At 42.1% G+C, this 14,395-nt stretch overlaps 1 protein-coding gene and 1 pseudogene across 4 annotated transcripts in view, besides 3 other annotated features; one reads left to right on the top strand and one right to left on the bottom strand.

Moving 5' to 3' along the window:
- The first annotated feature begins 3,670 nt into the window (after window positions 1-3,670).
- Window positions 3,671-14,395, top strand: part of DHRS7 (dehydrogenase/reductase 7) — a 25,771-nt gene continuing 15,046 nt past the window's right edge. For 3 of the 4 annotated variants that reach the window (NM_001322282.2, NM_016029.4, NM_001322281.2), the window contains exon 1: window positions 8,162-8,383. In NM_001322282.2, coding sequence (NP_001309211.1) covers window positions 8,251-8,383 — 133 coding nt within the window. In that variant the 5' untranslated portion in view covers window positions 8,162-8,250. Of the gene's footprint in view, window positions 3,864-8,161; window positions 8,384-14,395 lie in introns of those variants that run through there. The other variant, NM_001322280.2, reaches the window with a different exon arrangement.
- Window positions 7,929-8,198: a silencer, noted in NCBI's record as "silent region_5808". NCBI's record gives its function as "represses an Ori minimal core promoter by ATAC-STARR-seq in GM12878 lymphoblastoid cells {active_cell/tissue: GM12878}" and the evidence as "EXISTENCE:reporter gene assay evidence [ECO:0000049][PMID:35858748]".
- Window positions 8,399-8,448: an enhancer, noted in NCBI's record as "active region_8468". NCBI's record gives its function as "activates an Ori minimal core promoter by ATAC-STARR-seq in GM12878 lymphoblastoid cells {active_cell/tissue: GM12878}" and the evidence as "EXISTENCE:reporter gene assay evidence [ECO:0000049][PMID:35858748]".
- Window positions 8,639-8,698: an enhancer, noted in NCBI's record as "active region_8467". NCBI's record gives its function as "activates an Ori minimal core promoter by ATAC-STARR-seq in GM12878 lymphoblastoid cells {active_cell/tissue: GM12878}" and the evidence as "EXISTENCE:reporter gene assay evidence [ECO:0000049][PMID:35858748]".
- SCOCP1 (short coiled-coil protein pseudogene 1) overlaps window positions 12,135-14,395 on the bottom strand; it is a 2,415-nt pseudogene continuing 154 nt past the window's right edge.

Here is a 14,395-nt window from a genome sequence, read left to right as displayed (position 1 = left end):
TCTGTTTCTGCTTTTCTTTGCATGTTGTTCTCATTCTATCATAGTTCAAATGTGCCTCTTCCACCTGGTCAGTGAGTTTGGTCACATTTTCCCAAAGCAACAGAAAATCTCCCCCAACAGCACTAGCCAGTGAGTCCTTGGAGGGATGCTGAGTGGTTGGCTGGGCTCATGTGTCCATCCCAGAACTCATCAGTTAGACTGGGGGAATGAGCATTCTTTGGCCAGGTGTTGGTCACATATGCAGCCACTGGCTGACTAGTGCTTACACACTTTTCTTCCCTTATTATTTTTTAAAGTGCCCCTTAATGACAAAATGCAACTCTTCTGTATATAATCCATGCATTGCTTCCCAAAGAAAGACAACCCAAAGTCACTGGCATTCACCTTCAAGTCTGGTACCTGTTGATGTATATTCCTTTGGTGCAGGTGTGGTCCAAATATATTTAAATATATTAAATAATACATGTAAAAACCTCCAACACACACAATATCCAATGTTAGAGGGAAAGACAACTACAATGAGACCTCCCACTGATCCATGGCATAGTCATGTCCTGCGCTGCAGGGACAGGAAGGCCTCACTCCTTGAGAGAAAATTGCCAGTCTGGTTATGGTAAGCTCTGCACACCAGAAGGAACAAAGGTAAGGGTTTGTCTTCCCTTCCCTGCACTGTTATTGGAGCCAGTGAGGGGTATGAGAACTGCCTCAGAGATTGTGCCATTTAGGCCCAAAGTTCTCTGACAACACAACTCCCTTACCAGGCAGTCCACTCTGTTTCCTGGGAACCCTGTGATTGGTGAGGAATCCTGATGAGGGAAAGGGTGCAGACCTGGCCTAGCTAAGGGGGTGTTTCCTGGAGACACAGGGGGAGACATTACACAGAGGGCACAGCCTGTCATGTGTGCTTTTCAGCAAAACTCCGTTAAAAAAAAACAAACTTTTTTTTTTTTTATTCCCTCAATCCACCTGCCCAAGGGCAACTGTCCAGGGCGTCCTCTTTGCTACATGCCAGGTAATGAATTTATCCACAAATTGTGCAAACAAGACGTATTGTTCCCTGGCTGCTTGTACTTTTGTCTCTCTCTTCACCCTTTTAAATAATGCTTTGCCTTTGTTCCTTGAATCTTCTCTTTCATGTATATAAGTAAGCTATCTACTTGCAATAACTAACTCTTTCTGAAGTATTATTTTTTGAGACAGGCTCTTGCTCTGTTTCCCAGGCTGGAGTGCAGTGGCACAATCATGGCTCACCACAGCCTCCTGGGCTCATGTGATCCTCCTGCCTCAGCCTCCAGAGTAGCTGGGACTACAGGTGTGTGCTACCATGCCTGGCTAATTTTTTTGATTTTTTTATAAAAATGAGATCTTGCTACGTTGTCCAGGCTGGTCTCAAACTTATGAGCTCAAGCAATCCTCCCACCTCTGCTTCCCAAAGTGCTGGGATTAGAGGTGTGAGCCACCACGCCCAACTTAAGTATTATTTTGACACTAGTGAAAACTTTAAAAAGTTCCCACACTCCTAGGAAAAATTTACAGCCAGGATACAAGATCAACCACCAGAAATGATTTTAAATCTACTTAATCCGTCAACAACTCACCTCTGCAAGCATGATTCTGGAAGCCAACCCAGCAGCGAAAACCCCTTGCTTGTGAAAGCAAACCACCTGGGAATGGACTGCTTCAATGAACACACCACTGAGTGCCAATCTACTAAAGTCTCACTCAAGTAACTACAGTTCTTCAGCTGACATCAACCTACTCTGCCAGTCACCAAACTCCATGCTTCTGCAGAGCTGTATTAAGATCAGTTCCCTGATCTGCTTAGAGAGACTGGGCCTGGTCAGCATAGCTCTCCCTTATATACCTAAGCAATAAATTCAGCTTTATTTTTTGTTTATTGTGATGGTCTGAATTGTGTTCTCCTGAAATTAATATGTTGAAGTTTTAACTCCTAGTACCTCAGAATGAGACTGTATTTGGGGATGAGCTTGTTAAAGAGGTGGTTAAGGTAAAACGAGGTCATGTCAGTGGGCCCTGATCCAATATGATTGATGATGTCCTTATAAGAAGAGGAGATTAGGACACAGATGCACACAGAGAAAAGACTATGTGAAGACAGGAAGAAGACGACCATCTGCTATAGCAGGACGAGCCACAGACAAAACTCCTTAGATACCGGGTTAAAGAAGGAAGGAGCTTTATTCAGCTGGGAGCTTCTGCAGACTTGCATCTCAAAAGCCGAGCTCCCTGGGAGAGAAATTCCTGCCCCCTTTAAGGGCTTACAACTCTAAGGTGGTCTACGTGAAAGGGTTGTGATCGATTGAGCAAGCATGGGGTATGGGACTTGGGCTGCATGCACCGGTAATCAAGACAGAGCAGAACAGAACAGAACAGAAAATTTCACAATGCTTCTTCACACAATGCCTGGAATCTATGGATAATACAAGCAGTTAGGTCAGGGGTTGATTTTTAACTACCAGGCTGGAGGTGCTGCAGTGGGCTGTCTGACTATTGATCTTATTTTTGCCTTTCTGTAACTTTTGAATTCTCTTTCTTTTTCTGAGGTATGAGACAAGGAGAGGGGGTGGTCTTCAAGTCAAGGAGGGGGACCTCAGAGGAAACCAGCCCTGTCAGCACCTTGACCTTGAACTTCTAGACTCCAGCACTGTGAGAAAATAAATTTCTGTTGTTTAAGCCATCCAGTCTGTGATATTTTGTTATGGCGGCCCTAGAAAATTAATATATTAATGTTTATTTTGGATATTGAGGTCTCTAGACACTAGAAATCAACATCAAAATTCTTACCAAATGAAGGTAATGACCCTGGACTCTGCCTGAGCACTTCTGTCTCCAAGTAACAGGCCTCAGTGCTGTGCTTGGGCTCCTGGCCCACAGGTTAGTGGTTTTCACCTGGACCTCAGGTTGGTTGCAGAGGCAGGCCACATCCTTAGGGTAGGGGATTTACCTATGGGGGCACAAATACATTCCTTAACATTTCTCGTAAGCTAATTTTAGTGGGTCTCTGCCATTTGCGATTGAGAGTACCGACTGATTGAGACATTGGTACCCAGAAGTAGAGTGCTAGAAATGAAATATCCTAAAATGTGAACTACTGTGTCAAGGTGGAGTAGGAGGCAGTGAGGCTCTCTCCATCTCCCTCCATCCCTGGGTGGGAAGTGGGCAGTCTTTATGATATGGTAATGAAGCAGCTCATTAAGATGTTATTGTAGTTTCTTTGGGATTCAGACCTGTACATACTAAGGTAGAAGCTTCAGGGAATCCAGCAGAACAAAATTAGGCTGCTCTGGTGTGAGAGGCAGTATTATATGGTGGTTCAAGAGCAAAGACTGAAATTAGACTACCTAGGTTCAAAGACCCTGTCTCCTAGCTGTGTGACCTAGGGCAAGTTACTTAATCACAATTAAGCTTCCTCATCAGGGAAATGGGAATTAAAATAGTACCTAATTAACTGGATTATTGTGAAGATTAAGGGATTTAATATATATAAAGCACTTAGAATAGGCCTGGCAATTAGAAAGCATATGGACAGGTTAACTCTTGTTGTCTTGGTTACTTCTTGTGGCTCCTGTCAAGATCCTACTAGAAAGAGATAAGCCTTGGTCTTAGATAGCTGGGAACAGCATACGGCTTTGTTAAAAGAGATCACGCTCCTCACTGCTCTCATGCCCCATCTCAGCAGACAGCAATCCAAGACTGCTTAGGGTTCGGAATTACAAAACCAAATTCCCTGCTAAGGCTAAAGTTGATCTGAACAAAAGTAAGGGCAAGGCAAAGAGAATAGACATTAGACAGGGACCTGAAAGGATCCAGAAATGGGACTTTACATCCCACAGAGGAAACAGGTAAGGTGTTTCCATACAGTGACAGAGAATAGATCAGTGGCTGCCTAGGGAAGGGGTGGAGGATGGGTGGATTTCAAAGGGTCACCCCTTTTGGGGGTGATTGAAATGTTTACCTTGATTGTGGTGATGGTTTCACAGGTGTATATATTTGACAAACTCATCAAGTTGTATACCTTAAATATGTGCAGTTTCTTGTACTCGAATTATACTTTAGTAAAGGTATAAACAAGAGAGAGCAAGAGGTAGAAGCTGCAATAGCTTCTGTGACCTATCCTTGGGAGTCACACACTCATCATTTCTGCAGCATTCTGCTGGTTACAGTGATCAACCCTGATACAACCTGGGAGGGAAATACATGGTGGTTTGCACACAGGAGGTGAGCATTGTTGGATCCATCTGGGGGATTTCTGGCCATCCCTCTATGTGGAGAGAACAGTATGTACAAGGCCTTGAGGTGGGCTGGTATTCCAGAAAGCCTTAACTGATTAACTCTACTCACCTCTGCTGAAAAGTTGACTGTTACTTGGTGCAATGGTTTTTTTTTTTTTTTTTTTTTTTTTTTTGGTTTCTTTTGTTTGTTTGTTTTGTTTTTTTAAGACAGGGTCTTGCTCTGTTGCCCAGGCTGGAGTGCAGTGACACCATCAGTCTCGGCTCACTGCAACTTCTGCCTTCCAGGCAGTCTCAAGCAATCCTCCCACTTCAGCCTCGGTGCAATGTATGTTAACATATCATCTGTCACATCTTCCAAAATTTGAGTCCCAGGTTCTCCAAAACTTCAATGGGTTAGTTAGACTAACCACTTTCAATGCCTAAGTGTTCTAATATGTCAAGTTCTCCTCTGACCTTATGCTTTGGTTTATGAAGAGTGAAATTATGAGGAGTGTCAGCATGTTTGCAAGCCAATGGGATGGAGTATGATTTAAGAAGCAAGAAAGAATTTTGTTTTTCTTAAATCTGAGACCATAAATTTCTGTTCACTCTGCTTATCTCCAAGGCTGGTCCTGGCTGGAGAGGGGAGAAAAAAGAGAAGGAGAGGAAAAAGCATTGATCAGTTTTAGAATTTTAAGAAAATATTTGCATATTTTAAGAAATTTAACCTAATTTTTTTAACTTTTTACTTTAAAATGATTATAGATTCACAGGAAGTTGCAAAGATGGAACAGACGTGTACTCTGTACCCCGTTCTCCCCACTAGTAAATTTTACATAATTTTAGAACAATAACAGAACCAGGGAATTGGTATTGGCAAAATCCACAGACCTCGTTCAAATTTCACCAGCTTTGCATGTACTCATGTGTGCATGAGTGTTTGAAGTTCTAGATTAGAATAACAACCACCACTACTAAATCATGGACAAGATATATAAAGGGAAGTTTGAAACAGAGCATTTAAGGGAGAGAGAATGAGAGCTATAAACTGCTTATGTTTAAGAGACCCAAGATACTGTGGAAATTGGCTAATCTAAACAAAATATCAATGCACTGATATGGGGAACTGCATGTGGTGAACAGTGCAGTGAGATATTCCTATTGAGGGATCCCATGAGATTACTAAAGGTAAGAAAGTAAGTTATATTTTCTTATAAATAAGACTCTAGGTAAGACCTTGTCTGCCTGAAGAATATCAGAAAACTAGACCATGACCTGAACGCTTGTAGCTGGGGTACAGCCAGGCAGGTGTAAGCCAGAGCTTGTGGAGGGAGGCTGCTAATAGATTGCAGAGCTCCTCTCCACCGTGGCCAGGTTGCAGGATTTCTGAGTAAGGGTGCTGTGAGCTTTTGGGGCAGGGCAATTCTTTGTTGGGTATGTCTTTACATAGTGCCCAGATCGTTAGCACTCTGATGACACCCTGGCTAGCTGGCACTATGGCCACTGTTCATCCAACACATTTCCAAAAGCATCTAAGGGATGTGAAAACATCCTCAATCAAAAACCACAAACCCCTTATTGTTCTTGAGGAAGAATATTCCCTCCCTAGATTCCTCAGTCCCTGTTTCCACTCACAGTTTCCACTCACTCTTTTTTTCCCCCGCCTAGGGACTGCCGATCTTGGAGGATCTGGATTTTTAAAGTTATTTTTGTATAATGCTTTTGTTATGGAAGATGGCAATTGCTTACGCACAACTGCCTTCATCTTAGCTGACCTGAATGGGCCTTAGCTGCCATGAATGGGCCTTAGCTGCCATGAATGGGCCTGACCCCAGACCATCAAAAGTGACCATTACTAAAAGGAGGGAAGGCAGGGTACCATTCTATTACATCTGGAATTAAAAATGAAGGTTACCAGTTATAGAAAAGACTTTCGGACTTTATTCAAAGCATTTTAATAATACTTAGAGAAGATTGATTTATTAAATGCTAGCAACTCTCATTTTAACATTAACTTCCGAACTTCAAGGAGGTTTTAAAAAATTGAATTTTAATTTTTAATTTTTGTGGGTACACAGTAGGTGTATATATTTATGGAGTACATGAGATACTTTGATACAGGCATACAATGTGTAATAATCACATCATGGTAAATGGGGTATCCACCCCCTCAAGCATTTATCCTTTATGTTACAAACAATCCAATTATACTCTTCTGGTTGTTTTAAAACATACAACTAAATTATTATTGACTATAGGCACCCCATTGCACTATCAAATACTAGGTCTTATTCATTCTTTCTATTTTTTGTATCCGTTAACCATCTCCACGTCCCCCCCAACCCTCCCACTACTCTTCTCAGCCTCTGGTAACTATCCTTCTACTCTCTATCAAGGAGGTTTAAATTTCAAGGAAAGGAGAATTCAATCAACGTGGGCTTATTGCTTCTCATGTCAACACTAAGCTATGTATTCCAGACTCTTCAAAAGAAGCATCAGATTTGCTACTTTATTTCAAGGATTCTAAAGTTCCATTGGAACAATACTATATTAACCCTGAAAATAATTAAAAAACAATTTCAGATATAGTTCAGAAGTAATTGTGAAAAGAGGTGAGATTAGGGAAAGATGACTCTGAGTCCAGATAACCCCAAAAAGCTTTTTAGAGAAGGATGAGGGTGGGGAGGCAGGTAGGGGGTTTATAATAGGATTTAAAAAGAGAAGGAAGAGCTATTTAAGGAAATTTGATTACTGCAAGTAACATTCTTCAAAACATTTAAAGAAAAACAAAAGTTTGGCAGGCAAGACTAGAAAAAGAAAACAACACTGGGGAGGGAAGTCACTGCTTCTTTTATTTCCATGACTGTTTTAAAGTCATATTTAGTTTCAGCCAAGGAAGAGCCTTTGACATCAGAGCACACAAAGTACTCTAGGAAATGAAGAGGATGAAAGTTCTACTGCATCAACGCCCAGAACTTTCTCCATTTGGCCACAGGTCGTTCTCATACATGGCCTAGTTTCTATGCACTCTAACTGGGTCCCTCTGAGGCTTGTGAATGGAAAACCCTCTTGCTTTCAAATGCTTGAAAACAAGAAAGATGCTACTATTGATGCCTCAAATACATGTAGGTATTTAGTGGGAAGCAATTAAATGTTTTGAAGGTCATTTCAAACGGAAATTAATCAAAAACAGTATTTTACTCTTTTGTGTATTAGAGTAGGCAAGACCTTGGTGTTTTCATTACATTCTCTGTTTTTATTTGCTGTTTACATTAGGATGTGAATAATGGCTTGGGTAAGGGGAGGATTTGGTACCAACCTAGGCTTTGGTTGCCAAACAGACACCAGAGTAAATTTGTGTGTGGTCAGAATCAGGTTGTAAGGTGCCAACACAGCACATGGCTTCAGTCTTTTTTTCTCTAATTGTAAAAGGACCTTGTCCCCATGGAGGGACCATTGCCTTGGCTTGTGGGGTCTTGAGTGATAGCCACAGTCTTTCTTCAGCACTTTCTCGACCTCATGAAAAGATACTGAAGCTTGAAAAGGGGATGTTCTTTCTGAATAGGAATGGAGAAGAGGGGCCAAGCAAGAATGATTCTATCTGTCTCCTGGCCGTTGATAGTGTCCCTGTACAGAGAGGAAATAACGTAGTATAATATGTAGCTTATGTTTGAATCAGCTTCTTTAAAAATACTGGAATTTTATTTATTTATTTTTGGTAGACACAGGGTTTCCTCATGTTGCCCAGGCTGGTCTCGGACACTTGAATTCAAGCAATCTGCCGGCCCCGCCGGGTGTGCCGCATGAGGGCGCGGGCCGCCCAAGGACCGCGAGTGGGGCCGCGAGTGCTGAGCCCGGCGCGCCCGAGCCGCTCCTCCTCCCGGCCTGCTCCCTGGGCGGAGCCGGGGCAGTGCGGCTCTGGGCTGGCCGAAGGGGTGGCGCTGCGATCCCGCAGGGCAGCGACGCGACTCTGGTGCGGGCCGTCTTCTTCCCCCCGAGCTGGGCGTGCGCGGCCGCAATGAACTGGGAGCTGCTGCTGTGGCTGCTGGTGCTGTGCGCGCTGCTCCTGCTCTTGGTGCAGCTGCTGCGCTTCCTGAGGGCTGACGGCGACCTGACGCTACTATGGGCCGAGTGGCAGGGACGACGCCCAGGTGAGGACCGGCCAAAGCCTCTCCCGAGTGGGAGGCCGGGCTCGGAGCTGCCGAGGCGTGTCCGGGTCTCCGGGGGTTCTGCAGTGATCCCGGGTCCTTTGTGGGTTGCGTGGAGCTTCCCGAAGGCCCGGCTGCCCCTTACGCAGGGGCTGCGGGTTGGGGAGGAAGAGGCGAGGGCTAAAAAGCCCCTTTGTCTTCTGTACTGGTCGGAAGATGGCATGGACTTGCCATTCAGGCTAGGAAACCTCTCCAGGGAGTGCCAAACTGTTAAGAGAGCACTGGAGTCGGCGGTGCTCCTGAGGACTCTGACATCTTACGCAGGACTCAAGGGATTCTGGTGTTGTCTCAGAGGACGATACTTTGAGAAACAGTGAGCGTCCCCCTGCGTTTGTAAGGGAAACTCCTTTGTAAGTACCGGAAGCCCGGTCGTTCTACTACCTGAAGTAGTCTGTCCTCCACTTCCCACTCCTGCAGTTTTGAAATAAAATCTGAGATAATCCGAAGTCCTTCACCTACTTACTCATTCTAGTCAAACACTAGAAAGAACTAAAAATGGCAGTTTGCTGGAGCGAGATCATTATTGGCATACTGCCTATCTCACTTTATCTGTGTCTTGCTTAATATTTGACATCGTGTACATTTGCTGTATGTTGGCTCAGCGCTTTACACACATAACATTTAACTTTTACAACAACTCTTACAAGGTAGGCATTATTAATCTTATTTTCCAGATAGGGAAACTGATGTTCAGAGAAATTAAATGACCTACCGAAAGCTAGGCTTTGGATCCTTAAGGACTTGGGGAAATGGGGTTTCCCTGGACCAAGTTTCTGGTATAAAAATACTCAAAGCATGTTACAAAGTTTGCTTGGAAGAGATAGTAGCTCGAAAGATAGACTATGTTTGGGGGGGGCGTTATGGGTTGGGCGTTGAGGGGGGTGATATTGATCCCAAGGTGAGAATTGGTTCCTGTGGACAAAAAAAAAAAAAAAAAAAAATCTGGTAATACAGTGGTTTGTGCCCCTCCAAAGCTTAACCCCACCCGAGAAAATATTATTCCTTAGTATTTCATTTTTCTGGTTGGGTTTTCTTGGGTATAGCATGTGCAGCACTGACATTGAGTTCACGAAAAATACACAACATGGACGCCACAGCAGTGCTACAAAACTATGGCAAGTGATTGGGCTTTCTCCTTTTAAAGCAGGAATCCCAAATACTGCACAACTTCATTAACCAAGGGCTTTCTCTTGATCGATTGTTCCACCTCAGCGGGGGAATATGTGTGCCTATTGGCTGCCATTGGCTGCCTTGCAGACGTTGTTTGTGTTTGATCTTTAGTGCTTTTGTGTTCACTTGGACTTGGAGAATTAAACGAAAATAGATTATATTTTATTATTTAATCCTACAAAAAATATTCAACCCATCAAATTATGTCAAGTGCTAAAAAGCAAAATTATTGACAACATCTGAATGAATATCTCTAAGCTACTAAGTTAAAAGTTATTTTCTCATATTAAGGAAAAGTTAAAAGTTAAGATCATTGAAAATTTTAAGAAATTCATTTAATATTTTCAGTTGTGTTTTGTCGGAAAAGAACAGTTTGAAGGATTTTAAATTTAATTACATTGTTATCATTATGTAGTTATATAATTTGCAAATTTGCACATGTAGTTTGATAAATTGCTATTTATCTAAGTAAGTTACATAAAAGTTATTCAGCAAAAATCTGGCGTGGTGGCATGTACCTGCAATCCCAACTACTCTGGAGGCTAAGGTAGGAGGGTCATTTGAGCCCAGGAGTTCAAGACCAGCCTGGGCAGCATAGTGAGACACTGTCTCAAAAACCATAAAAATGTTTTTCAGCAAATACAGTTATAAAGTTAGAAGTTAATAACTTTTAAATTTTAATTTAACATTTAACTTAATTTTAAAATTTAGTCATATGCTTATTTAGTCATATGCTTATTAACTAAGGAGTAAGCTTTTTTTCTTTTTCTTTTTTTTTTTGAGACAGAGTCTCGCTCTGTTGGCCAGGCTGGAGTGCAGTGGTATGATCTTGGCTCACTGCAACCTCTATCTCCTGGGTTCAAGTGATTCTCCTGCTTCAGCCTCCCTAGTAGCTGGGATTACAGGTGCGTGCCACCACGCATGGGTAAGTTTTGTATTTTTAGTAGACCTGGGGTTTCGCCATGTTGGCCAGGCTAGTCTCAAACCCCTGACCTCAGGTGATCCACCCCGCTCTGCCTCCCAAAGTGTTGGGATTACAGGCATTAGCCACTGCGCCTGGCAGGAGTAAACTTTATAGAACTCCTTTTATGTATAAAGCACAGATATATGTACAGTACATAAATGATATACAGTATATCTGTGGAATTAACATTTCACAGGAGAGTTTTAGGGGAAAAAAAAGTCTAAAAAGACTCCTGGTGGAGGTAGGGAGTGAGAAAGAAGAAAAGATTAAAGGAAAATTGAAATAGACTCAGATTCCCAAAACAGCTCAGACTGGAGAGATGGGCAGACTCTATCAAGATGAAAAAAGAAAAAAAAATCCTTCTTGACTTCTCTGTAGGTTTATTATTTTTTGTCACTTAAAAAAATAGCACACTCACATAATACAAAAGTAAAAATACAAAAAGATATATAGTAAAAAGTAAAGAGCTTTCTCTGACCCTTGTGCCCTAGCTACCTAGTGTGCTTCTCTCGAGGCAGCCACCATTTCCTGCCTCCTCTGTATCCGTCTAGAGAAATTCTGTGCATTTCCAAGCATATATCTCACATGGTGATTTTTTTTTTTTTTTAATAGAGAGACAAGGTCTTGCTTTGTCACCCAGCCTGGAGTGCAGTGGCATGATCATAGCTCACTGCAGCCTCGAACTCCTGGGCTCAGGCAATCCTCCCACCTCAGCCTCCCCAGTAGCTAGGACTACAGGTGCAAACCACCACACCTGGATATTTTTAAACTTTTTGTAGAAACAGGCTCTCACTATGTTCCAGGCTGGTCTTGAACTCCTGGCCTCAAGTGATCCTTCCACCTTGGCCTCTCAAAGTGCTAGGATAACAGATGTGAACTGCCAAGCCCAGCCACATATGGTGAAATTTAAGGGTGACTAATTTTAGACATTAAAATGGTCCAGAAAAATCCATGGCACAAGTCTAGAGGAGGAAAAATTTCAACAGCAGCACATGTGAGCAAAACTCAGGTTTTTGTTAACAGTAACCTCAATAGGAGTCAACTGTGAAGTGGCTGCCAGAAAAGATCAGGCAACCTTGGGTTGCATTTGTAGACCTCAGTGTCTGAAGCAACAACTGCAAACAACAGATGTCTCCTGACTAGCTGCTTGTATGTGCCGGCCTCTGTGCTGGGGCACTGGGGACACTGCAGTGACTGAATCAGCCACAGTCCAGGCCCTCATAGACCCTACCTTCTGGGGGACAAGGGAAGTGATTTTTGACATCTCATCCTGCTCTGCACTGTCCAGACCCTACCGAATCCTGTGTCCTGCCCTAGCCAGCTCCCTTTAATAAAGAGGAACATTAACCAACTAGAATTGGTGCAGGTGGGTGTGAGCAGAAGAGTGAGGAAACCTGATACCATGTCATGTGAGGGAAGGTGGCAGAAATTGGATAGGTTTATTTAGCCTTAGAGAAGGTAAGAGATGAAAGGACTTAGGGAAGACATAATGGCTGTCTTCCCTAACAGCTGTGAGGGATTGTCATTTAGAAGACAGGTTTCATTTCTTTTCTTTTCTTCCTGAAACAGCTTTTTGTAAAACAAGAAAGCAGAATTGCAACACAATTTAAATGTCTGTCTAGGTCACAAAAGGGATGCAAAATGTTTGTAATATGATTAGTATGTATTCATATAGTGAGTCATTCTTACACCTATACATAAGATTATTCCATGATTAAAGGTAGCCCAGCTCTAATAACCATAAGCTATATTAGTGGATCCCTTTTCCTATTATAACATTTTAGTATTACTTCTGATATTGATTCCCTTAACAAATGGAGTCTACAAACTGAATTTTAAAAAATTGTTAAAAGTGACTAAAACTCTGTAAACAGAGGAGTTGAGTTTACAAAAAATTCTGGGAGAACAAGCAGGATAAAACTGAGCAAGATTATCAATAAGTGTACATCTGAAACTCCCATTTTTCACAGTTCTGATACTAATACATTCTTAAGGAATTTTGCAAAAGTTAATCTGCTGAGTAGAAATATACCTTGAGACCAAACTCTTTGTAACTGTTCTCTTCCAGATGTGGTACATAAGATTAGTCAAAGTTGGCCAGATGCGGTAGCTCACGCCTGTAATCCCAGCACTTTGGGAGGCTGAGGTGGGCAAATCGCTAGAGCTCACAAGTTCGAGACCAGCCTAGGCAACATGGCAAAACCTCATATCTACAAAAAAATACACACAAAAAAATTAGCCGGGCATGATGGTACACGCCTGTAGTCCCAGCTACTTGGGAGGCTGAGGTGGGAGGTTGGCTTGAGCCTGAGCCGTGGAGGTTGCAGGGAGCCAAGATCATGCCACTGCACTCCAGCTTGGGTGACAGAGCCAGGCCTTGTCCCCTCCCCCCGTCCCCCCGCCAAAAAACAGGTTAGTCGAGCTTAATCTACTCTCATATATTTCCCAAAAGATCTACTCTGTGCCAGAGATAACAAAAATCTGGAGTGAAAATATTTGGAGTTGGTTACTAGTATTTTCCCAAGTACTTTTCCATCCTATTTCTATTTTCCCTTAAGCTTTTCTATTTTAAACACACACGACCATAATTTATATCTTTTCAGATACAAAGTAGGTAATTTTGTAAAAAAAAAAAAAAAAAAGAAGTTTTTTTTTTGTTTTTTGTTTTTTGAGATAGAGTCTCACTTTGTTGCCCAGGCTGGAGTGCAGGCTCACTGCAAACCCCACCTCCTAGAGGTTCAAGCAATTCTCCCTGCCTCAGCCTCCCAAGTAGCTGGGATTACAGGCACCCACCACCACGCCCAGCTAATTTTTGTATTTTTAGTAGAGATGGGGTTTCGCCATGTTGGCCAGGCTGGGCTTGAACTCCTGATCTCAGGTGATCCTCCTGCCTCGGCCTCCCAAAGTGCTGGGATTACAGGCGTGAGCCACTGTACCTGGCCAAAAAGAAGTTTTTGACAACAAAAAATTATCTTCCCAGATTGACAATTCAGTTTCAATGAAAAATCTTCATTTTTATAGTCTCTTTTTGTTTTCAATTGATTAAAGAGAAACCAGCAATTCTATCTTAGTATTAAATATCACAAATGAGAAGCTCTAGCTGAGAAAATGTCTTCATTTGGTTAAGTTTTGACAATTAAAGTTCAGGTTACTCTCAGAGATGATTAAGTATTAAAATTGCTTTTACAAATATGAAACCAGTTTTTCCCTGGGGGAGGGGAGATAGGAAGGAAGAAGCCAGTGGAGAAGGGGCCCAAGAAGATGGATAGGGTACATGAATCTGTGCAGTCAGTACCTGATTGGGGTCACTTTTTCACAGCATGATGGTTATTTTCTTGTATATCTTACTAAGCCTATAATAAAAGACAGGGCTAAACCCACAAATCAGAGCAAATTTGATAAAACATTCATCTTAAGTTTCATAAATATGTGCTATTCTAAATTAAGTTTCCAATACATTTGCACATTCTCATAGACTAACATAATACACAAACTTATGGAAGTTTCCTGTTATGCTATGAATGTTGCCTACATCTGACATTAGCTTCATAAATATTCAATGAAACCACAAACAAAGGTACTATCACTTTTGAAATCTGTCCAACATATAAAGAAAGGTCAGCAGCAATTCCATAAAACAGAAGGGCTTCAATTCTGTATTTTCTTTTGCTTTTTGTGTCAGTTGTTTGAAAAACACTAGAAGCTGACATGAAATTTTCTGTGTATTGTCTAAGAAACTTGGTTTTCTGATTTTAGCTTGAGATTTTCTTCCGTAACCGCATCTCCTCTGACAGGGAGATCTTGAAGTGTATGTTGGGGTT

This window comes from Homo sapiens, chromosome 14 (genome assembly GCF_000001405.40).
Source record: "Homo sapiens chromosome 14, GRCh38.p14 Primary Assembly".
NCBI classification, from domain to species: Eukaryota; Metazoa; Chordata; class Mammalia; order Primates; family Hominidae; genus Homo; species Homo sapiens.
The sequence above is the reverse complement of the archived record's forward strand: the minus strand, read 5'-3'. Positions and strand labels throughout refer to the sequence as shown.